Here is a 25,006-nt window from a genome sequence, read left to right as displayed (position 1 = left end):
AATAATATACTTGGAATATTTCAACAAAGTAGTTTCCTCTTGAAGGGGCAAGCTAGTAGGTAAGATTCAGAAGGAATAATCAGGTGGCTTCAACAGTACTGATGATGTTCTAACTCTAAAATTAGCTAACAAAATTCATGGGTATTTATTATACTTAGCATCTACATTATTAATATTCTTTTTATGTATCAAATATTAGATAAAAATATATATTTCTTTGAGACAGGGTCTCGCTCTGTCACCCAGACTGGAGTACAATGGCATGATCTTGGTTTGCTGCAACCTCCACCTCCTGGGTTCAAGTGATTCTCGTGCCTCAGCCTCCTAAGTAGCTGGGACTACAGGCATGCACCTCCACACCTGGGTCATTTTTGTATTTTTAGTAGAGATGGTTTTTGCTGTGTTGGCCAGGCTGGTCTCGAACTCCTGGCCTCAAGTGATTTGCCTGCCTTGGCCTCCCAAAGTGCTGGGATTTAGAGGCGTGGGCAACTACACCCAGCCTACATACAAATATTTTAATTCAATAATATTAGAGAAACCCATGTAAGAGAAAAGAGAAAGAGGAGTCATCCTTTAAAAGGTCTTCTTAATAATTTTGCTAATCAAACTAATAGACCTATTTTGATTTGTAAATCCAAAATATCCAGAAAGGCTTCATAAAAGCCAGTCATCCTTGCTGGGTGCGGTGGCTCACGCCTGTAATCCCAGCACTTTGGGAGGCTGAGGCGGGCGGATCACGAGGTCAGGAGATCAAGACCATCTTGGCTAACACGGTGAAACCCCGTCTCTCTACTAAAAATACAAAAAATTAGCCGGGTATGTTGGCAGGTGCCTGTAGTCCCAGCTACTCGGGAGGCTGAGGCAGGAGAATGGTGTGAACCTGGGAGGCAGAGCTTGCAGTGAGCCGAGATCGCACCACTGCACTCCAGCCTGGGGGACAGAGCAAGACTCCATCTCAAAAACAAACAAACAAAAAAGCCAGTCATCCTGAAGATTAATTAAACCACAGAGTAACATTTCAGGCCCTTCATATTTTGCAATGTTAGAATATCAACATTCTTGCTGAATAGCCATTTAGTGTGAATAACACAACTACTCAGAGGAAATATTTAGATATAAGATTTTCTTACTGTATCCAAGGCAAGTAAGTCATCTTTGCTCCCACCAAATACCATTATTTCATTTTCTTTTCCCAAACAGGCTGTGTGCCATAACCTATGATTGAAAATTATAAACAGAGTGAAACACTGTCATGGGAGAAACTGTACATTATATATAAATCAATTCTAAATTTCATACTCTAAAATGTAATCTATTTAAAAGAGACACGATTGAACTTGAACCTTTGGAATATCCTAAAAAGGGTTATAAAGATTCCTCTAGAGTTCATTAAATCACACCATTAAAGAGATGACTCTCTCTCTGTTTTTTGTTTTTGTTTTTTAAAGAGATGAGGCTAGTTTTGAACTCCTGGGATCAGATAATCCTCCTGCCTCGGTCTCCTAAAGTGCTGGGATTATAGGCATGAGCCACCACACGCAGCCAGAGACGACTCTTAATAACTCTACTATATCCTTCAATATTTTTATAACCTTTTTCTCTCATACATATTATCCCTGCAGTGAAATAAATTAAAAAGGAACTGATCACCTTATTGCTGAAACAAGCACTTTCCCCAGTTTTCTTATTACTATCTGCGATGTTACTGTTCTTATAATTTTTGCCTTTTTTCCTACTCTATGTTCCCCATCACCCAACAAATCCAATTTGGCACTCCTTCACATTTCCATTGTCACACTACTCATCACTCTGAGTACAGAACACCATAATATGTTCCTAGTTTTTCAGTCTCTCATCTCCCTCAGCTACATATGGCTAATAACAAATATTTTTCAAATATTGCCTCTAACCATGGAAATTTCCTGATGATGAAGCATCTGCACTACCAATGGCTGTTTTCCTAGCCTAATATTTGTGATCAACCAGTTTCTTTTTCCCACAAATCTTAATTCTTGGCTTTTCCCAAATGAGCCCTCTACTTAGCTAAATTCATTCCCTTGCTTCCCCTATGAGAAAAGCTTATCATCTATCTCTAGGCTTTTGTTCACTCTGTTTCTTATGCTTAGAGTAATAAGCCATTCTTACTGGGCCTTAAAAACAGGCTCCAAACACCCAGGAAGTATTCCAAATACCCACCCAAAACTGGTTCTGTTACCATCTCTATTCAGCACCCTTTAATGTTTATGTGCTCATTTTATACTTGCCTCACTTACATTTGAAGAAGAACTGCTCTGCATGCTACTTTAGCTGTTTGACTAGCTAACTAAGATTATGAGGTCCTTAAGTTAAGAAATTGTCACAGTGGTGTGCTCAAACTGGCTTACTGGCTAGCAGAAGCTGATTGTACATATCTGCATCCAACTCCACGTGCAGTGACATCACGTTGGAAGCTTGAAATTGGCCATGGTAGGAGTATTTACACCTTGGAAATCGGCAAATGCTACAAATTAGGGCATCCTCCCACTCTGGAGAGTGCTTGTTGGCCATTAACAGCACACCATGGGAACCTGGGGAATCTAATTTTATGGCTTCTTAAAAATGCCTCATGTGGTGTTCTGTACCCAGTAGCTGCTCAAAAACTTGTGATTAACAAAAGCAAACATGAGGCTGGGCACGGTGGCTCAAGCCTGTAATCCCATCACTTTGGGAGGCTGAGGTGGGCAGATCACAAGGTCAGGAGTTCAAGACTAGCTTGGCCAACATGGTGAAACCCCATCTCTACTAAAAATAAAAAAAAAATTAGCCGAGCTTGTTGGCGCATGCCTGTAATCCCAGCTACTTAGAAGGCTGAGGCAGGAGAACTGCTTAAACCCAGGAGGTGGAGGTTGCAGTGATGCAGTGAGCCGACATCACACCACTGCACCCCAGCCTGGGTGACAGAGCTACACTCTGACTCAAAAAAAAAAAAAACAAAAAAACCAACCAAACAAAAGAGAACATGAAAAAAACAACATAATATATTCAGTCATTAGATATACAAATTATTTCATAAAGGAGTAGAGCATCTAATATTCTTTTGGAAGTGGTCTGATAGTTCATGTCTATTTCCAATATCACATTATTAACAAATAATAATTTTCGCCTGTAGTCCCAGCTACTCAGGAGGCTGAGGCAGGAGGATCGCTTGAACCCAGGAGGCGGAGGTTGCAGTGAGCCGAGATCATGCCACTGCACTCCAGCCTGATGACAGAGCGAGACTCCATCTCAAAAAACAAACAAAAAAACCCAAATACTAATTTTATGGTTTAACAAAGTTGAATATTTCCAGAGTAAGAGAACTCTCAAAAAAATTTCCCAATTTTAGAGGGTAAATTAGGGATTTTTACATAGTCATTGCTTTGACTTTTAGAGTACTTTGATTCCTTGTTTTTTTTTTTTTTTTTTTTTTGAGACAGGATCTGGCTCTGTCACCCAGGCTGGAGTGCAGTGGCACAATCTCTGGTTCCTCCATCCTCTGTCTCCCAGGCTCAAGTGATCCTCCCACCTCAGCCTCCTGAGTAGCTAGAACTACAGGCACACGCCACCACACCCAGCTAATTTTTTTTTTTTTTTCAGAGATGGGGTTTCACTGTATTATCCAGGCTGGTCTTGAACTCCTGGGCTTAAGCAATCCTCTCACCTTGGCCTCCCAAAGTGCTGGGATTACAGGTGTGAGCCACCACACCTGGCCTTGATTACTTTTCTTAATATACCAACTGTTGAAGCAACAGATACCTAAAACAATTATAAATCATAACTTATTTTATTACCACACAACTTATTTTATTTTTTCTACTTCCCAGGAACTGGGACACATAACTAATTTTTAGTACATTAATCCCTTTTACTTAAATTTCACAAGTGCAAACAGTGGAATTATGCACAATTCGTTAAACCAAATACTTTCCTCAAACAATCGTGTACACATTCAATGACAAATGCACTTGTGGCCCAAAATGGAACTAAGTCATTAGAGATGTTGTTTGGGAAATACTCTGCCCAGTTCTCCAACTCTTATAGAAGATACATTGATATAAATCTTCAACAAGAACCCAGATTACGTGGTGGGGTCAAGGATGGGAACTGGAAGAGGGTTAGGTAAAGGAGAGAGAATACAAAAAATGCCCTCATACATGGGAAGGAACAGATTAATTTCCTGGAGAGAAGGCTATGTGTAACCTTGGCGATACTCACGAGATCCAACAGTACTTGGGGCTCTATACACTAATATTTTCTCTAACATCTTTTTCAGACACATAAAAAAGGGTCCTTGCTGATAGCCAACTATATAGGCTATCAGATCTGGCTACATATATGGCTTTTCAGCCATAGGTTTATCTAAGGTGAGACTCAGAGAATAGGAGTGCTACACTGTAGAACAGTCGTTCTCAACCAGGGGCAATTTGTCCCCTAAAGAGGCATTTCACAGTATATGGAGATATTTTTAGTTGTCATAAGTTGGGGAGAGAAAAGGTAGTACAACTGGCATCTACTGGGTAAAGGACAGGGATGCTGCTAAACATACTACAATGCACAGGACACCCTCATGACAAAGAATTATGTGGTCCAAAATGTCAGTAATGCCAAGGTTGAGAAACCTAGCTGTAGAGTTCTAAGAGGAGAATTGGGCAGCTTACATTTCAAATTACAACTTGAAAAATTTGTACAAAATGCTTATAGATCTTAGCTAAATTGTCACTTTTATAAAAATTAGTATATATATAGACACATATATATGTTCTCCTTACACTCAACTGTATCCCACCTGTTCTTCTCCTCACCTCATACCTGTAGATCTGCCTCTGTCTTATCTGCCTTAGGGAAACTCTGGCCATTTCATCATCGAAGAACACTGGAAAGCCTTTCCTGCCTTGATTTTGGTGACATCTAGCTTGCAACCTGATGTTTTTTCTACAGACTGATAGTTTATGTCCTTTCACAGCTGCTCTAAACTTATCACCTAAACATTCTAATAAAGCATATTATTTACATGACACATCAGCTGAATTAAAAGAAATCTCTTTACATAGCTCTAGTTCTAACTAACAGTATATTATAGATAATAGTTGTGTTGCTCTACTCATTAAGGGTTGAAATATAAAATAGGAGCAATTTTAAAATTAAACATTTTTACTAATACTTTGGTCTATAATGCATTCATACAATCAAACAACTGGAATAAACTAAGAGATTATCTAGTCCAACTCTCTTATTTCACCGATGAAAAAATCGATGCTCAGTTTCTTTCTTTCTTTTTTTGAGACAGGGTCTGGCTCTGCTGCCCAGGCTGGAGTGCAGTGGCACAATCTCAGCTCACTGCAGCCTCAACCTCCTGGGATCAAGTGATCCTCCCACCTCAGCCTCCTGAGTAGCTGGGACTACAGGTGTGCACCACCACACCCGGCCATTAAAAAAAAACCAAAACTGTAGCAATGGGGTCTCACTATGTTGCCCAGGCTGCTCTCAAACTCCTGGACTCAAGTGATCCTCCTGCCTTGGCCTCCCAAATTGCTGGGATTAATAGGCGTGAGCCACCACACCTGGCCAATGCTCAGTTTCCTTAAGTGACTTTTCAAAGCCAAAAAAGTAGGTAGTAGCTGAGCAAGGACTAGAACTCTTGGCTCCCATGTCTCAGTACAAAACTCTTTACATTAAAAAAAAAAAATTTCAAAAGAGCCAGAAATGTTAAAGTAATACATTCCAATGAATTTTTATACATGAAGACAAAAGAATCACAAATGCAATTATGAATTCTAAACGTACTGTGAATATTAATATAGATACATATACCAAAATAAATATAAATATTTTCAGGCCTTTTTCTCAAGTAAGCTGTCATTTATTAAATAACAAAATATATATCATTAAATTGATTACACACTAGCATAAATAATCTGTATTTTTAAAATTCTAAAATACATAGCGTAAAAAAGAATTACCAATTATAATGATCATAATGTGCTGAATCTGAATTTCCTATGAAGATATTATTACACTATTCAATAAAATTAGAAAAAAACAAGAATTATAGTACAAATGTGGTTTTCTTTGTAGTTTAATAATAGTATATAATTTCTAAAATTTTTAATTCTATAATATACCATAAATAACGTATTTTCTTTTTCAAAAAATTCCCATCAATGAATACATCATGCAGTTAACAGAGATTAATAATAACCTGCCATCCATTGGATCAACATGGAAGCAAATTTCCTGATTAACTTGCTTTAAACCTCTTCCAAAAACAAATAACTACTATTAAAGCCAACCCCATTTTTGTCTGCTTATTAAAATTATTAACATTAAAAACATTAATCTCATATGATGCTTTTAATTATCTTAATCTTCACAGTTATCAGGCAAGATTATGCATTTACCTAAAAGAATAACATTTTCAAATATGCAAGTATGGGTGAAAACTGGATAGATCATTTCTAACAATCAGATATAATTAAAATAATAATTAAATTATTTAGGTAACATCAAGCTCATTTGAAAGATATCCTTCTCAATGGCTTATGGTTTCAATGGCAAACACTATAAATTCAGTACTATATTTTAATACTTTAAAAATTCTTAACTATTTTACTATTTGTCAATTTCTTGACTTACCTAGGTCTTGTTTTAGGTAAATGTGTAAGTTGTTTCCAACAATTTGTTGTGACATTATGAATCCAACCATCACCTGCAATATCATGACAGTTCAGAAATTAAGATTAGGTCTCTGGGATACAATTTTAATTTTCCCCCCAATTTATCATGCTACATTTAAATGACTATCTTTTCTGAGTGCACCTATTTTATCATACAAATTTTCAAACATTTACAAAAATAGAGTGACCATGACAATGAACTTCCATATATCGCAGATTCAACAACTATCAAGACTTTGCTACATGTGCTCCACTTATCTTTTTGTTATTATTGCTTAATTTTTCTAAATGAAATCCTAGATCTCACATCATTTTCTCCATACATACTTCAGTATGCATTACTGAAAATAAAAGGACATTTTTTACATAACCACAATGCCATTATCACAGTCAACCAAACTAAAAAAAAAGTCTTGGGATCATCTAATATCCATATGACCAAATCTTAGACTGAAACAGAATCTTTAAGGGAGGAAATTGACTAGCTTATGAGTTAGGACATTTAATTTCCCATAGGTCAATGACCAAAAACAGAAAACAGGAACTAAAAACACTAGAGATCATGAAGATATGATATTAAACAGCCCCTAGTGAAATGTACAGATGTTAGTTTTTGGTTAGATTCCAAATCTCTTTTAAATAAAAATCTCACAAATTGGAGAAGTATAATAATGTGCAAGAATAACTAACATCTCCTACTAGGAACTGTTGTTTCTCCAACTAACCTCTGGAATTTGTCTGACTGCCAGACACACAGCTGATGCTCAATAAACTTTTGTTGAAAAACAGTTGTTTCCAGACCCTAATATATAATTATATAAATGTTGTAATAGTGTATAATGTTTCTTAATGAAAACATCTCTAGCCAGAGAAAACTTCTGGGTTAAGAAAACAGAAAATGGCCAGGTGCGGTGGCTGACGCCTGTAGTCCCAGCACTTTGGGAGGCTGAGGCGGGTGGATCACGAGGTCAGGAATTCGAGACCAGCCTGGCCAACATGGTGAAACCCCACCTCTACATACAAAAATTAGCTGAGCGTGGTGGTGGGCACCTGTAATCCCAGCTACTCAGGTGCCTGAGGAAGGAGAATCGCTTGAACCCGGGAGGTGGAGGTTGCAGTGAGCCGAGATTGCACCATCCCACTCCAGCCCAGGCCACAGAGCAAGACTCCATCTCAAAAAAAAAAAAAAAGAAAAGAAAATAGAAAACATAAAACATCTAACATGCCAAATTAAGAAGTCAATATTCGTGGTCATCTGTCTATCTTGATGCCACAGTTCTACTGCTGAAAGAAAAACTGCATTCCAAAACCCATAGCCACTGGGATCAGCAATGACTGGAGTTTAAAAAACCTAGCTAAACACTTTCCTCTACAGCTCTGGAACAAAAAGAGAAGCAACTGGGCTTCCCACTTTGTATTTCCAGGGCCTTCTAAGAAAGGCTGCTCTTCCAATCCCCTAGCCTGGAGTACAGCAAAAGCGAACAGTGCAAGCATCCTACCCTACAGTACAAGCATCTGGATCAAAAATCAGCGGACACAGAATCACAGAATATAGTAGTATAAAGGGGCTTTGTTTCATCTAGCTTCAATCACCCTTCCTCTTCTCTTTCCCTAGAAAACAGGGGAACGTGGAGAGCCAAGGGTACAAAAGCAAGGAGATCATAATTCATGCAAGAAAATAATTGAGGATAAAGGCAAACCAGAAAAACAGGAAAAAAGGAAGATTTACTTCACTGTAAGTATGAAATACAATTAAGAAAAAAGAATGAGATAATAATTATAGGCTAAACCTTAATCAACTTACTTAATGGGATATTATCTGCACTTAGTCCACCACATAGGAAAAGTTTATCATCAGCTATAGGTGTTAAAGTATGCCATGACCGATGTTTTGGGCTTTCTCCATTAATAGTAATCCTGTGGCAAGGAGAAAAAGAAAGTCTAGGTACTATATTAATCAAAATAAAAGGTTTTTAATCATCTTAGATCTTAAAAAAAAAATCTGCCCTCACTGCTCCAAAAAACTTTTACTAGTCCCACCTACATGAATATTTGAAAAACATTATTAAATTCTTAGATGAATTTAAAAAATCTTTCCATTTAATGACCATTCCACCTGGCTACACAGTGAAAATAAAAGTCAATTCTCAGCCGACGCGGTGGCTCATGCCTGTAATTCCAACACTTTGGGAGGTCAAGGCGGGTGGATTGCCTGAACTCAGGAGTTCGAGACCAGACTGGGCAGCATGGTGAAACCCCATCTCTACTAAAATACAAAAAATTAGCTGGGCCTGGTGGCATGCGCCTGTAGTCCCAGCTACTCGGGAGGCTGAGGCAGGAGAATTGCTTGAACCTGGGAGGTGGAGGTTGCAGTGAGCCAAGATTGCACCACTGCACTCCAGCCTGGGTGACAGAGAGAGACTGCTTCTCCAAGAAAAAAAAAAAAAGTCAATTCTCCGTTAATGCACAATGCATACTCAGCATCATTCTTATTGGCTAATCAGCTGCTTCCTTAGTTTTTCAACACAATTTTTTTCATGTCTGTAACTTTTTACTGTTGTTTCATGGTTAATTTTGTGTTTTTAGCTGATTTCCCCAAGGATATTATGGGTTTTTATATTGTTGTTTTTTACTTTGATCTACTTCTAGAATTTCCCAAAACATTATCTTCCTCTGAAAATGCTAGCTATTCTAACTTCAAAATAAAAGCATGAAAGCCATTCCAGATACAGGGTAAACCTCTAAGGATTTCTCAAAAAAATAAAAATAAAAACAATGCCAGGCACAGTGGCTCACTTCTGTAATCCCAGCACTTTGGGACGCCAAGGCAGGAGGATTGCTCAAGCCCAGGAGTTGGACGGACCATCCTGGGCAAAATAGAGACATTGTCTCTTAAAACAAAAGAAAACAGAACAACAAGAATAATCATAATAATAAAAGGGACACTTAAAAGAGACGGGGCATGAAAAATAAAAACATAAGTTATAGCTGGGCCTGGTAGCATGTGCCTGTAATCCCAGCTACTAGGGAGGTTGAGGCAGGAGAATCACTTGAACCTGGGAGGTGGAGGTTGTAGTGAGCCGAGGTCGCGCCATTGCATTCCAGCCTGGGCAACAAGAGCGAAACTCCGTCTCCAAAAAAAATAAATAAATAAAATAAAATAAAAAAGCATAAGTTAGAAGCAAAAGAATTTAATTTAGGAGGTGAGAAGATACCATTCTTCCACAGTCTGGAATGTTCCAGAATAACACAGGACATTTTTGGAAGATACAATTTGTTTTTTACAAAACGGAAATATTTTTACTGTTTGTGTTGTTTATAAGAAACTTTTTTTTATTTTTTGAGGCGGCGTTTTGCTCGTTTCCCAAGCTGGAGTGCAATGGCGTGATCTCAGCTCACTGCAACCTCCGCCTCCCAGGTACAAGCAATTCTCCTGTCTCAGCCTCCCAAGTAGCTCTGTTTACAAGCATGCGCCAATACACCCGGCTAATTGTTTTGTATTTAGTAGAGACGGGGTTTCACCATGTTAGTCAGGCTGGTTAAGAACTCCTGACCTCAGGTGATCCACCAGCCTCAGCCTCCCAAAGTACTGGGATTACAGGCGTGTACCACTGCACCTGCCTGGTTTTATTTTTATTATTAGTTTTTGAGACAGAGTTTCACTCTTATTGCCCAGGCTGGAGTGCAGTGGCACGATCTTGGCTCAATGCAACCTCCACCTCCCGGGTTCAAGCGATTCTCCTGCCTCAGGCTCCCGAGTAGCTGGGATTATAGGCGTCCACCACCACTCCTTGCTTTTTTTGTATTTTTAGTAGAGCTGGGGTTTCACCATGTTGGCCAGGCTGGTCTCAAACTCCTGACCTCAGGTGATCCACCTGCCTCGGTTTCCCAAAGTGCTGGGATTACAGGTGTGAGCCACTGCACCCAGCCTAGGTTGAACATCTTTTAAAAATAATTTTTACCTATTATTTCTTCTGTGAGTTGTTTATGCATGTTCTTTGTCCACTTTTCTATTGGATTATTTGCCTTTTTAAAACTGATTTACTGAGTTCTTGTGGATCTTTGCCCTGACATCTCTCTTTTAAAAATATTGCAAATGTCAGCTGGGCACGGTGGCTCATGCCTGTAATCCCAGCACTTTGGGAGGCCAAGGTGGGCGGATCACAAGGTCAAGAGATCGAGACCATCCTGGCCAACATGGTGAAATCTCGTCTCTACTAAAAATACAAAAATTAGCTGGGCGTGGTGGTGCGCGCCTGTAGTCCCAGCTACTCCGGAGGCTGAGGCAGGAGAATTGCTTGAACCTGGGAGGCGAGGTTGCAGTGAGCTGAGACCATGCTACTGCACTCCAGCCTGGTGACAGAGCAAGACTCTGTCTCAAAAAAAAAAAAAAAAAAACCTGCAAATATTGTTTCCAGTTTTTTGTTTGCATTTTACAATTTGCCATTTAATTTTTTGTGGTACATTTTTCTACAGAGAAATATTTAATTTTTAAGTAGTCTTATCGATCAGTCTTTTCATTTATGAATTTTGAGTTCATATCATCTTTACAAAGCTTTCTCCATGCCAACATTTTAAAGATAATCTGCTATATTTTCTTCTGAGACTTTCATGGTTTTATGGTATTTAATGGTACTTATACTTTGGAATAATATATAGCTCTGATTCCATCTCATTATACAAATTGCTAAGTTGATAGCTAAATATATTTGTTCTATTGTTAAATACATATTATGAGCTACAAATAAAATCCGACTTTACTCCATTACCTGTTCACCTGAGATGACCCCATTCAACCACTTCTTCATTTCTTCTACTGATCAATCCTCAAAAACTACTTAGTATAAAACCAGTACTTTTATATAATCTAATTTCAACTGTTAGTATTTTCATGTTTTATCTTGTCTGGTTAAGGAACAAACTCTATTTAAATCTATATAGTCCTTGCTTAGACATACGATCTGAAGGAAAAAAATACCAGTCCAGTTTTAAAGACTCACATTTGGATTATGGTGACATACAGACACATACACATGCCTATAGATTAAAACGTACTTAGACTTCAAACTTACCTTCCAGACCAAGTCCAGGTGTCTAGGTTTAGATAGTGCAAATCATTCATCCTAGTTTGCTAAAAGAAAAGTGTGTTACATTGGTCAGTATTTCACATCTTTTATCAGCTAAAATTTTTCTTTTAAAGTAAGTTCAGATTAAAAATAGACTATCTCTATTTTACTTCACATAAGATGTTTAACTATTGGAAAACAATGCTAAGCATTAATAAGACTGACACAGAGCTCCCAAATCAATGTGTCAAAGGGGAAAGGAAAAAATAGGAAGAAATAGGTTTAAATTCACAGGCTTTAGATGACAAGAAATTAATTTTTTCTGATACTGCACTGAAAGATTCTCCTCATTAAAATATGATTTATAATCATCTATGATTGTTCATGTATGGTCTGTTTATGAATTAGAAGATAAATAAAATTAGTATTGAATGCCATTTTAATCTCTAGATTACATGAATGTTCAATTATTCCACGAAATCAGAGGATAAATTTTTATAAGGAGCATTGCACATAAAAATACCATTTCCATTAAAAACACTAACCAGAACACGTCCGCCAAAGATATAACCCTTATTTCCAAGAACTGCACATGTATGCGCGGCTCGTGGCTGTGGTGGAACTCCACCCTGCAAGTAGAAATCAGAACAGACTGCAAAGACTTGAAATATCTGTAATAAAGTTACATTCCTATGCTCAGTATGTGAAAGTCTTAATCACTAAGTTATCATTACCTATGTAATTCAATTAAAAACGCTAATGCAAAAGTTTATTCTAAATAGTACTAATTGTAGACAAATACTATTTGTCAGAATACATTTTATTCTCCCTGATCTTTACTTTTGAAAATGTTTTTCTTATATGTCTGACACTATTTAGCAAAATAAGGTTTCATGTAAATTTTTGTTTGAAATACTGTATAAAGATTTTAAAATCAAATTTTAAAATGTTCTCTCTCTCCCTCTCTCCTCTGTTTCTCTTTCACACACACAGAGTTCCCATTAGAAGTGAGCAGTGCATATTGCGATTATCTCAGAAACTCTGTAAAATTAAAAATGGCCCCAAAACTCTTGGTGCCTCAAATTTACAATAAGAAGTTCACTCTTGGCTTAAGCCAGACAGTGCTCTCTCTCTTACTAAAACTCTTAACATTAATTGATAACACTTCTCTACACTTTATTTTGAATAAATATAGCAGACCTTTTCTTTAGAGAAGTTTTGTTTTTTGTTTCAAGGCAGAGTCTTGCTCTGTTGCCAAGGCTTGAGTGCAATGGCACAATCTCGGCTCACTGCCACCTCCACCTCCCGGGTTTATGCGATTCTCCTGCCTCAACCTCCCCAGTAGCTGGGATTACAGGTGTGCAACACCAGGCCCGGCTAATTTTTGTATTTTTAGTAGAGATGAGGTTTCGCTCTGCTGTCCAGGCTGGTCTCAAACCTCCTGGCCTCGAGCGATCTGCCTGCCTCAACCTCCCAAAGTGCTGAGATTACAGGCGTGAGCCATTACGCCACCCTAGGGAGGTTTTTAATTGGTGGAAAAAGTGAGTATCATGGGTAGATGAATGAATAAGGTTTGAGGGAAAAATCTTCTGCATAATTTCCATATTTTCATGGTGGGTGCCTTTATGTATGTATTTTAATTCCAAGTTCTGAAAGAACCTGACATTTTCAGCTCACTGGCTACTCAAAGTGGGTATAGGAAATTAAAGCTCTGCATCCAATATCATAACTTCCTAAACTTTTCAGGCTTATTTGAATAACTGTGCTGAGGTCAACTTGGTAAGACATAATTCAGATATTACCTATATAACACTTAAATGAGAACCACTTAAGAATTTTGGTTCCCAGCCCTTCCAGCAAAACAAAATTTTTATTATTACCCCAGGCTTGATCTGAAATTTTGGAAGAATTCTTCTACTATATAGAAGAGAATAGAAGAGTACTGGAAATCTGAAATTTATTGCCTGGAAAAAGAGAATCCAGAGAATGGCCAAACTCTAATACTTACGATTTTGTATAGACCTTCCCATCATTTCCATGAACAGAAGTTGGACTGTAAGGAATTCTGGTCATATATGTGTATTAGTAGACATGTATGTAACTGTGCATATACGACCTGCTTAGCATTCCACTCTGTTCAATTCTGGTAAGCTTATCAGTCACAATAGCCTCCTGTTCCTAGCAATGAACATGTGACTCAAGACTGGCCAATCATCCCTTTGGCATCAGGAATTGCTGTAAAGGGTAGGAACATGCCCAAGTAGAGGCAGAGTCCTTTTCTTTCTTTCTTTTTTTTTTTTGGTACAGACGGAGTCTCATTCTGTTGCCCAGGCTGGAGTGGTGCAGTGGAGCAATCTCCGCTCACTGCAACCTCCGCCTCCCAGGTTCAAGCAATTCTCCTGCCTCAGCCTCCCGAGTAGCTGGGACTACAGGCGCATGCCGCCACGCCCAGCTAATTTCCTTTGTATTTTTAGTAGAGACAGGGTTTCACCATGTTGCCCAGGTTGGTCTCGAACTTCTGAGCTCAGGCAATCTGCCTGCCTCGGCCTCCCAAAGTGCTAGGATTACAGGCATGAGCCAGCAAGCCCAGCCCTTTTCTAAGACTAATATATAGACGTTGAGAGAGTACAATACAAATAACTGTGTGTGTAACCAGGACCATATTCCCTCCTAAATGAGCCAGTGTGTCTGCCATAGACGGAATGAAACAAGCACACAAAGAGAAGCAGAGAAAAGCAGACAGAAAGACAGAAAGTATTGTGAGGATGCTGAGTAACCTGCTCCGGTTCCTGAGGCTATGGTCCCTGTGGCTCTTCCTTCTACTTTGTGTGCCATTCCAATATGATTTCCAGCTATGTGAGAATTCATTATTGCTTAAACTAATTTGAATTTGTGTTTGGTCACTAACAAATGAAAGAATACTGATAATGTATTTTTTGTCATGCCATAATTGCATGTACCTCTGAATTCAAGGGTATATAAAACATGGGCTTTGTTATAAAAGGATTTTTAAAAATAGACCTTTATTAAATCAGGGCATGACACTTGTGGGTAAAGAATGACGATGGCACCTCATTAAAAGACTTTTTTCTAGAAAACCTTAGCTGACATGGAGAAGAATATGCATTTTTTTGTTTTATTTGTTTATTTTGAGAGACAGGGTTTCACTATGTTGCCCAGGCTAGAATGCAGTGGAGTGCAGTGGCTATTCACAGATGTGATTGTAGCACACTACAGCCTCAAACTCCTGGACTCAAGTGATCCTCCTGCCTCAGCCTCCTGAGTAGTTGGGACTACAAGTGCCATCTACGGTTCTGATGTTTTTCTTAATGCTATTAATGAAAGTACTCAAGAGAACTACTTGGTATGTGATTACAAACCTAATTACAAAAATCCAAATAACAGGCCAGGTGTGGTGACCTATAATGCCTGTAATCCGGGCACTTTGCAAGGCTAAGGTGGGTAGATAACTTGAGGTCAGGAGTTCCAGACCAGCGTGGCCAACATGGCAAAATTCCGTCTCTACTAAAAATACAAAAATTAGCCAGGCATGGTGGTCCACGCCTGTAGTCCCAGCTAGTCAGGAGGCTGAGGCAGGAGAACCACCTGAACCCGGGAGGCGGAGGTTGCAGTGAGCTGAGATTGTGCCACTGTACTCCAGCCTGGGCAACAGAGCAAGACTTTGTCTCAAAAACACAAAACAAAACAAAAAAAAACCCAAAATCCACAGTAAAAAATTTATTTTTAAATACAAATATATAAAGATGACTTTTTACCACACTTACTTTAATTTCTGGTTGAAACCAAGTCTGTGTCTTTGTGTCAAATATGTGGACATCATTATGCCATCCCCAGAATATCTGCTCTTCCTAAAAGAGAAATGTTTTAAATATCTCAAAGCTTTAATAATTTTTACATTATTATTACAGTTTTATCACATATTTACTGGTAAAATAACAGACACCTTACAAAAATAGAGTTAAGTGTTACCATAGTCACAAAGCCAACGGATACACGGGTACCTCCCAAAGCGTGGTCCCCAGACCAGTAGCAGCACCACCTGGCAACTTTTCTTCTCATAGTATTGTTTGCAGTGAATCATAATTTTACTTGTTGACAATCTTTCAATTTTCTCTAAGGATTATCTTTTTTAAAATTGCAGAGGGTGGAATGATGTTTACATTTTAAAATCTGTTTCCCTAAAGTACATGCTCAGAACTCCTCATTTTTGCTGTAATAAACTTTAGGGGGTGGGTCATGGTTCCTGTTCCCAAAAACTTCCAATCACTTCTACTTCACCAAGCAATTTGTTCTTACAGATTAAACTTATGACCACTCTCTTCTTTATCTCCTAAGATATAAAATTCTTTGTCAGCAAAGAAAAGACTTAGCAGCTATACCATATTTAGCATCTCCCAGGGTGCTGAAATCCTCTATCACTACTCTAGATGATCTCTGTGCCAGTTTTATATTGTGTGTCAGAAAGACATCATTTATTTTTGTCAGGCCTTGTCAAGCAAGTAAAATAAGCTAAACAATTTACTTAGTTTAGAATCTATTTTTAAATTTTATTTAAATTGAAACAGGGTCTCGCCATGTTACCCAGGCTGGTCTCAAACTCCTTGGTACAAGTGATCCTTCTGCCTCAGCCTCCCTAGTAGCTGGGATTATAGAAATGTGCCACCACACCCAGCTCATTTAGAGTCTAAATGAAAAAAAAAAAAAAATACCATTTGTGTTCCAGAAACTTCAGGACATGATAATTAGCTTAGTAACTGTATTGTAGGAGAAAAAAATTGAGTTATTTCACTGATGAATAAAAATAACTAGATATAAATAGAAGTTATATTCCTGAAAATTCTCAGCAATACTTTAAGTAGCAAAGCTTTAATGATATGTCATTTTTAAAACTCAAAAACAACATAGAAACATGGGGAATTTTCAATAATACCCATATACAAAGCAATATACATGAAATGTGTGTGTGTGTATATATATATATACACATATATATGTATTTACACTAATGTAGAATAATATACGCTAGTAGAAGGTAAAACTAATAAGACTGCATCTTGGTGGTAGGATCAATGGTTTTTTAAATTATCTGTTTAAAAATTTCATTTTTGTAATTCATGACTTCTTTCATTAATAATGATTTATTGTCTAATCAGTAAGAATAAGTAGAAAAATTAGTATCACTACCAACTGACTCTTATCTAGAGGCCAGTCTGACCTATGAATAATTCTAGTGGACATATCTAAAAAGAGGTGTATGTCAACAATAGCTTTTGCGGTTAAATATGAACATAATTTTTCCAAGTTGTGCTAAAGCCTCTACCTGTCTAACAGAAGCAGGTATCTGTGATTAACGATATAAGAAAAGAAATTACTCTGCCAATAGCCATGAAGGCTAATACCACTAGAGAGATACCTTTTGCCAAATGGATCCAAATGTTAAAGAGAGAAAACACATTTTTTTCATAGCGTCAATTACGACAAATTGGTAGCTCCAAAAATGAGAAAGACTAGACTCATTATTTCTAAGATGTTAAGGCTATACTGACTTGGAGGAAAATGTAAACAGTGATTACTATCTTACCCAAGATGCATCATGAACATCAAAACAGTCTTGGAGTTCACTGTGTCTCCTACACCCATAACCACCAAAATATATTAGTCTGAAAAACAAATACGAAATGACACACTTTAGGAATTCTGTTTCCAGTTTGTTCATAGAAAGCTGAAAAAGATCCTCTCACCTTAACAACCCAAACACAAAATCACAGTTTAAAAAGAATAAAGAGCTGAGGGAACAAAGAGACCTAAATAAACCAATTCCAGAAAGTGATGAGCTCTCAATGGGAAAGAAGAGACCCATAGCTGCTTTCATCCCTTGTGTAACAGCAAGAGGAAGAATCCAGCACATACAGGGCTTGTAAGAAGAAACTACCCAAATTTTTAACAGCTACATTTATATTGGCATGGCAAATTAGATTTTTTTTAATTTATTTTTTGAGACATGGTTTCCCTCTGTCACCCAGGCTGGAGTGCAGTGGCATGAACATGATCTCAGCTCACTGCAACCTCCACCTCCCGGGCTCAAGCAGTCCTCCTGCCTCAGACCTCTGAGTAGCTGTGACTACAGGTGCGTGCCACCATGCCTGGCTAATTTTTGTATTTTTGTAGAGATGGGGTTTCACCATATTGCCCAAGCTGGTCTTGAACTCTTGGGGTCAAGTTATCCTCCTATCCTGGCCTCCCAAAGTGCTGGGATTACAGGCGCGATATGGTTTGGCTGTGTCCCTACCCAAATTTCATCTTGAATTCCCATGTGCTGTGGGAGGGACCCAATGGGAGGTAATTGAATCATGAGGACAGGTCTTTCCCTGACCTCATGATAGTGATTAAGTGTCATGAGATCTCATGGTTTTCTCTTCTTTTTTTTTTTTTTTTTTTTTTTTTTTGAGACAGAGTCTCACTCTTGTTGCCCAGGCTGGAGTGCAGTGGCGTGATCTCTGCTCAAGGCAACCTCCGCCTCCCGGGTTCGAGTGAATCTCCTGCCTCAGCCTCCTGCGTAGCTGGGATTACAGGCGCCTGCCACCACGCCTGGCTAATTTTTGTATTCTTAGTAGAGACAGGGTTTCACCATGTTGGCCAGGCTGGTCTTGAACTCCTGACCTCAAGTGATCTGCCCACCTCGGCCTCCCAAAGTGCTGGGATTACAGGCGTGAGCCACTGCACCCGCTGATATGATGGTTTTCAAAAGGGGAGCTTCCCTCCACAAGCTCTCTTCTCTTATCTGTTGCCATGTGAGACTTGCTTTTCACTTTCTGCCATAATTGTGAGGCCTCCCCAGCCACATGGAACTGTAAGTCCAATAAACCTCTTTCTCTTGTAAATTGCCCAGTCTTTGGTATGTCATTATCAGCAGTGTGAAAAAGGCGTAATACAAGGCTTGAGCCATGGCGCCTGGCCCCAAATTAGCATCTTTAGAAACCCAGCCTCAAAGACTTGGAATCAACCCAAATGTCCATCAATGATAGACTGAATTAAGAAAATGTGGCACATACACACCATGGAATACTATGCAGCCATAAAAAAGGATGAGTTCATGTCCTTTGTAGGGACATGGATGAAGCTGGAAACCATCCTTCTCAGCAAACTATCACAGGGACAAAAAACCAAACACCGCATGTTCTCACTCATAGGTGGGAACTGAACAATGAGAACACTTGGACACAGGAAGGGGAATATCACACACCGGGGCCTGTCATGGGGTCGGGGATAGCCTTAGGAGATATACCTAATGTAAATGATGTGTTAATGGGTGCAGCATACCAACATGGCACATGTATACATATGTAACAAACCTGCACGTTGTGCACACGTACCCTAGAACTTAAAGTATAATAATAACAACAAAAAAAAGGAAACCCAGCCATAGACGGAATTTAACCTACTCCTTAACTCTTTCGCATAATCTTCAGGGAGGGATCAGGGTCAGTCACCAACAGCTGGAGGCAGAGGAGAGCTGAGAAAATCCCCTTTAGGCAATCTGAGCTTTGGACTACTAAAGTTTGTGATGCAAACAGGAGATCTGAAAGAAACACCTCAGGGGCATGCCAAATATTTACACCCTATAGAGTACCTGCCCTCCAAAGGCCAGGGGAGGAGATGCAAGGCTGAAAGAGGTCTTCCAGGGTGCAGAAAGCATAAAGTGGGATCAGAGAGCAAAGAGAACTCCCTCGTGGCCAATGACCTACCAACTGGACTATAAAACATGGAGAGATCTCCCACAGTTCTGAGAGGTAGGAACGCAGCTGTGAAGCACAGCTGCAAATCTCTAGAAAATCTCAGTGTCCAAATAGGGGGCCCTAGTAAAGGAAAAGTACTGTCCCAAAACATTTGAAGCCAGAGGTAAAACTCAATCAAACTAAAGCTACAACAAAGCCCAAATACAAATCACCTACGAATTAGACTGACTCAACTCTTACTCTAGCAACCTAAAAAAGAAGAAAGGGCATGTCACTTTCTGAAGATAAATATAATTTATTCCAATCTTTACTGTTCTTTCAGACAGAAGATCTGGCATATAATTTAAAAACTACAGGGAGGCTGAGGCAGGCGGATTGCTTGAGGGCAGGAGTTTGAGATCAGCCTGGGCAACATAAGGAGACCTGTCTCCACAAGAAATAAAATTTAAAAAAAAAGGAAAGAAAGGTGTGGCGGTGCATACCTGTAGTCTCAGCTACTCAGGTGGCTGAGGTGGGAAGATTGCTTGAACTCAGAGTTCAAGGTTGTACTGAGTTATGATCACACCACTGCACTCCAGCCTGAGTGAGAGTGAGACCTTGTCTTAAAAAAATAAAAATTACAAAATACACAAAAGGCACAAAAAAGTGGCCCATGATGATGAGAGAAAAGACTTAATATAAACAGACTCAGAGGTGGTCTAGACAATGGAATTATCAGACAGGGCCTTTAAAAAAACTATGATGAGGATACTAATAGCAGAAAGATGTGGACAACATGCAGGAATAAATGGGTAATTTCAGCAAAGAGATAGAACCATAAAAAAGAACTAAATGGAAATGCTAAAAATAGAAAATAATATGTCAGAACTAAAGAATTCATTATATAGGTTAAACAGCAAACTTTAAAAAAAAATTTCCTTCCTGGAACTTGGTAATTAACAGCAAACTTGACACAGCAATGGAAAACATCAGTAAACTTGAAGACAAGTCAATAGATTCACAAAAAATATCCAAATTAAAACATAAAGAAAAGGAAAGAATGGGAAGAAAAGAAATAGGTAGCCAAAGCTTTGTGGAACAGTATCAAAATGGCCTAACATGCATGTAATGGGAGTCACAGAAGGGGAGACAAAGAAAGATGGAGAAGAAATATTTGATAATATAATTACTGAGAAACTGATGGAAGCTATCAACCTACAAACCCAAGAAGCTCAGCACACTCCAAGTAAGATAAATACAAAGGAACTACACACCAATGCATATTTAATCAAATTATTTAAGGGCAAAAATATAGAACAGATAAAGAAAAAAAAAAGACACATACAGAGAAACAAAAACACAAATGAGAGTAAATTTGTCACAAAAAAGATGGAGGCCAGACTGGGCACAGTGGGTCACACCTGCAATACCAGCAATGTGGTAGGTTGAGGCAGGAGGAGTGCTTGAACCCAGGAGTTTCAGGTCTGCCTGGGCAACATAGTGAGATCCCCATCCCTACAAAAAATTTTAAAAGGCTGAGCGCTGTGGCTCACGCCTGTAATCCCAGCACTTTGGGATGCCAAGGCAGGCGGATCACCTGAGGTCAGGAGTTTGAGATGAGCCCGACCAACATGGAGAAACCCCATCTGTACTAAAAATACAAAATTAGCCGGGTTTGGTGGCGCATGCCTGTAATCCCAGCTACACAGGAGGCTGAGGCAGGAGAATTGCTTGAACCTGGGAGGTGGAGGTTGTGGTGAGCCAAGATCGCGCCACTGCACTCCAGCCTGGGCAACAGAGCGAGACACTGTCTCAAAAAAAAAAAAAAAATGAGCTTGGTGTGGTGGCATGCACTTGTAGTCCTAGCTGCTTGAGAGGAGGAAGGAGGAACGCTTGAGCCCAGGAGTTTGAGGCTGCAGTGAGCCATGACTGCATTACTGCACTTCAGCCTGGGTGGGTGATGGAGTGAGACCATCTCTATAACAAAATAATAATAATAATAAATAAAGGAAAGAAATAAAAAGAAAGGAAGGGAAGAAAAAAGAGAAAGAAAAATGGAGGCCAAAAAGCAATGTAACAAAACCTGTAGGCTGGGCACGCTGGCTCACGCCTGTAATCCCAGCACTTTGGGAGGCCAAGTGGATCACGAGGTCAGGAGTTCGAGACCAGCCTGGCCAACATAGTGAAACCCTGTCTCTACAAAAAATAAAAAATAAAAATAAATTAGCCGAGCATGGTAGTGCATGTCTGTAGTCCCAGCTACTCAGGAGGCTGAGGCAGGAGTATCACTTGAACCCGGGAGGAAGAGGTTGTGGTGAGCTCAGATCGCATCACTGCACTTCAGCCTGGACAACAGAGCGAGACTCTGTCTCAAAAAATATATATAAATAAAAATAAATAAATAAATAAATAAATAAAACCTGTAAAGTGCTGAAAGAAAAAAAATCCTGTCAACCCAAATGGTCAAAGAAATCATAACGGAAATTAGAAATTACCTTGAGATAAATGAAAATAAAAACATAACAAAACTTACGAGATGCAGCGAAGGCAGGGCTCAGAGGGAAATTTATAGCTGTAAATGCCTACATTAAAAATAAAATCTCAAATCCATAACATAACTGTACAAGTTAAGGAATTAGACAAGAACAAACTAAACTTACAGAGGGCAGAAGGAAGAAAATGATAAAGGTTGGAGGCAAAATAAAATAGTGAATAGAAAAACAATCAAGAAAAACAACAGGCTGGGCGGGGTGGCTCATGGCTGTAATCCCAGCACTTTTGAGAGGTCAAGGCAGGCTGATCACTTGAGGTTAGGAGTTAGAGACCAGTTTGGCCAACATGGTGAAACCCCGTCTCTACTAAAAATACAAAAAAATTAGGTGGGTGTAGTGGCAGGCGGCTGTAATCCCAGATACTTGGGAGGCTGAGGCAGGAGAATCACTTGAACCCAGGAAACAGTGAGCTAGGATCGCGCCACTGCACTCCAACCTGGGCAACAAAGTGAACAGAGTGAGACTACGACTCAAAAAAAAAAAAAAAAAAAAAAAAAGAAAGAAAGAAAAGAAAAAGAAAAACAACAAAACAAAAGTTGATTCTTTGAAAAGATCAACAAAATTGACAAATGCTTAGACAGCTGCACTAAGAAAAAAGAGAGCAGATTCAAATTACTAAAAGCAGAAGTGAGGAAGAAATATTACTACTGATACTACAGAATAAAAAGGATGACAAAAGAATACTATGCTAGGCATGCTGGTTCACACCTGTAATCCCAGCACTTTGGGAGGCGGAGGTAGGCAGATTGCCTGAGTCCAGGAGTTCAAGACCAGCCTGGCCAACATGGTGAAACCTTGTCTCTAAAAGTACAAAAAAAATTAGCTGTGCCTGGTGGTGTGCACCTGTAGTCCCGGCTGCTTGGGAGGCTGAGGTGGGAGAATCACCTGAGCTTAGGAGGTAGAGGCTGCAGTGAACCAAGACAGTGCCACTACACTCCTGCCTGGGCAAAGGTGAGACCCTGTCTCAAAAACAAACAAACAACAACAACAAAACCACCAGAATACCATGAAGAAGGGTATATCAACAAGTTGGATAACTTAGATGAAATGGAAAACTTCCTGGAAAGACCCACACCCTCAATGCTGGGCACAGTGGTTCATGCCTGTAATCCTAGCAATTTGGGAGGCTGCGGTGGAAGGATCACTTGAAGCCAAGAGTCTGAGACCAGCCTGGCAACATAATGAGACCCTATCCCTACAAATAATAAAAATCTTAGTCAGGGATGGTGGCACGTGCCTGTAGTCCCAGCTACTCAGGAGGCTGAGGTGGAAGGACTGCTTGAGGGTCCAAGGAGTTCAAAGCTGCAGTAAGCCATGAAAGCACCACTGCACTCCAGCCTGGGTAACAAAGAAAGACCCTGACTCTTATAAAAACAAAAATAAATTATATCTCAAGAAAAAATAGAAAATCTGAATAAACCTATAACAAGTAAGATGATTGAATCAGTAATCAAAACGCTCCCAAGAAAGAAAAGCCCAAGAATGGCTTCACTGGCGAATTCTACCAAATATTTAAAAAAGAATTAACACCAATCCCACTCAAACTCTTCCAAAAAAAAAAGTGAGGAGGGAATACTTCCTAAATTAGTTTGAGGCTAGCATTACCCTGATACCAAAGCAAGACAAATAAAATACAATTAAATATATCTGATAAGGGATCAACACCCAGAATACATAAAGTACTACCGTAACGTAACATCAAAAAGACAGACGACTCATTTTTTTTAAATGGGTAAAGGATTTGAATAGACATTTCTCCAAAGAAGATGTACAAATGTCCAATAAGCCAACATCATTAGTCATTAGGAAAATACAAATCAAAACCACAATGAAATACCATTTCACATCTGCTAGTATAACTATTATTAAAAACACACACACACACACCCAAAATAAGCATAGGTGAGGATGTGGCAAAACTGGAACCCTTGTTCCTTGCTGGTGGGAATATAAAATGGTATAGTCACTATGGAAAATAGTTGGTGGTTCCTCAAAAACTTAAACATAGACTCACCAAATGACCCAACAGTTCTATTCTTAACGTATATACTCAAAAGAATTGAAAACTGAATCACACAAAGTTATATGCCACATTGATAGCAGCATTATTCACAAATAGCGAAAAGGTAGACACAACCCAAGCATCTACCAACATATAAATGGCTAACCAACATGCGGTATATACATACAGTGGAATATTACTCAGCCATAAAAAGGAATGCTATATGCTACAACATAATGCACCTTGAAAACGTTATGTTAAGTGAAATAAGGCAGACAAAAAGAACAAACATTTTATGATTCAATTTTTATGAAATACCTATTATCTGCTTATTCGTAAATTATTATAGACAGAAAGATTAGAGGTCACCAGGGGTTGGAAAGAAGGGAGAATGGGGAGATATGGCTTAATGGGCACAGAGTTTCTGTTTGGAGTAATTAAAAAGTTTGGAAGTAGGTACTGGTGATGGTTGCACAACATTATGAAGGTAATTAATGCCACTGAATTGTACACTTAATATAGTTAAAATGAAAAATTTTATGTTTTATGTATTTACCACAACCTTTCAAAAAGGTATAGCAAGCCGGGCGTGGTATCTCATGCCTGTAATCCCAGCACTTTGGGAGGCTGAGGTGCGCGGATCACCTGAGGTCAGGAGTTTGAGACAAGCCTGGCCAACATGGTGAAACCCCGCCTCTACTAAAAATACAAAAATTATCTGGGCATGGTTGCAGGCACCTGTAACCCCAGCTACTTGGGAGGCTGAAGCAGGAGAATCCCTTGAACCAGGGAGGTGGAGGTTGCAGTGAGTGGAGACCACGCCATTGCACTCCAGCCTGGGCAACAAGAGTGAGACTCTGTCTCAAAAAAAAAAAAAGCGTAGCAAGAGGTAAGTCTCCCTCCTACTCTCAGTCACTTAATTCCCTTGCCTAGGGCAATCATTGTTACTGGTTTCTTT

At 39.1% G+C, this 25,006-nt stretch overlaps 1 protein-coding gene across 2 annotated transcripts in view, besides 1 other annotated feature; it reads right to left on the bottom strand.

The window, feature by feature from the left end:
- KLHDC1 (kelch domain containing 1) overlaps nt 1-25,006 on the bottom strand; it is a 60,031-nt gene that overhangs the window by 11,838 nt on the left and 23,187 nt on the right. For both annotated transcript variants that reach the window (NM_172193.3, XM_011536422.3), the window contains exons 5-11: nt 17,361-17,439; nt 15,544-15,627; nt 12,304-12,387; nt 11,765-11,823; nt 8,497-8,609; nt 6,652-6,724; nt 1,131-1,215 (exon numbers count right to left, since the gene is read on the bottom strand). In NM_172193.3, coding sequence (NP_751943.1) covers nt 1,131-1,215; nt 6,652-6,724; nt 8,497-8,609; nt 11,765-11,823; nt 12,304-12,387; nt 15,544-15,627; nt 17,361-17,439 — 577 coding nt within the window. The remainder of the gene's footprint in view (nt 1-1,130; nt 1,216-6,651; nt 6,725-8,496; nt 8,610-11,764; nt 11,824-12,303; nt 12,388-15,543; nt 15,628-17,360; nt 17,440-25,006) is intronic.
- Nucleotides 22,989-23,490: an enhancer, noted in NCBI's record as "H3K4me1 hESC enhancer chr14:50184541-50185042 (GRCh37/hg19 assembly coordinates)". NCBI's record gives its function as "activates a minimal SCP1, AML or CMV promoter by ChIP-STARR-seq in primed H9 embryonic stem cells {active_cell/tissue: H9 hESC(primed)}" and the evidence as "EXISTENCE:reporter gene assay evidence [ECO:0000049][PMID:30033119]".

This window comes from Homo sapiens, chromosome 14, assembly GCF_000001405.40.
Source record: "Homo sapiens chromosome 14, GRCh38.p14 Primary Assembly".
NCBI lineage: Eukaryota > Metazoa > Chordata > Mammalia > Primates > Hominidae > Homo > Homo sapiens.
The sequence above is the reverse complement of the archived record's forward strand: the minus strand, read 5'-3'. Positions and strand labels throughout refer to the sequence as shown.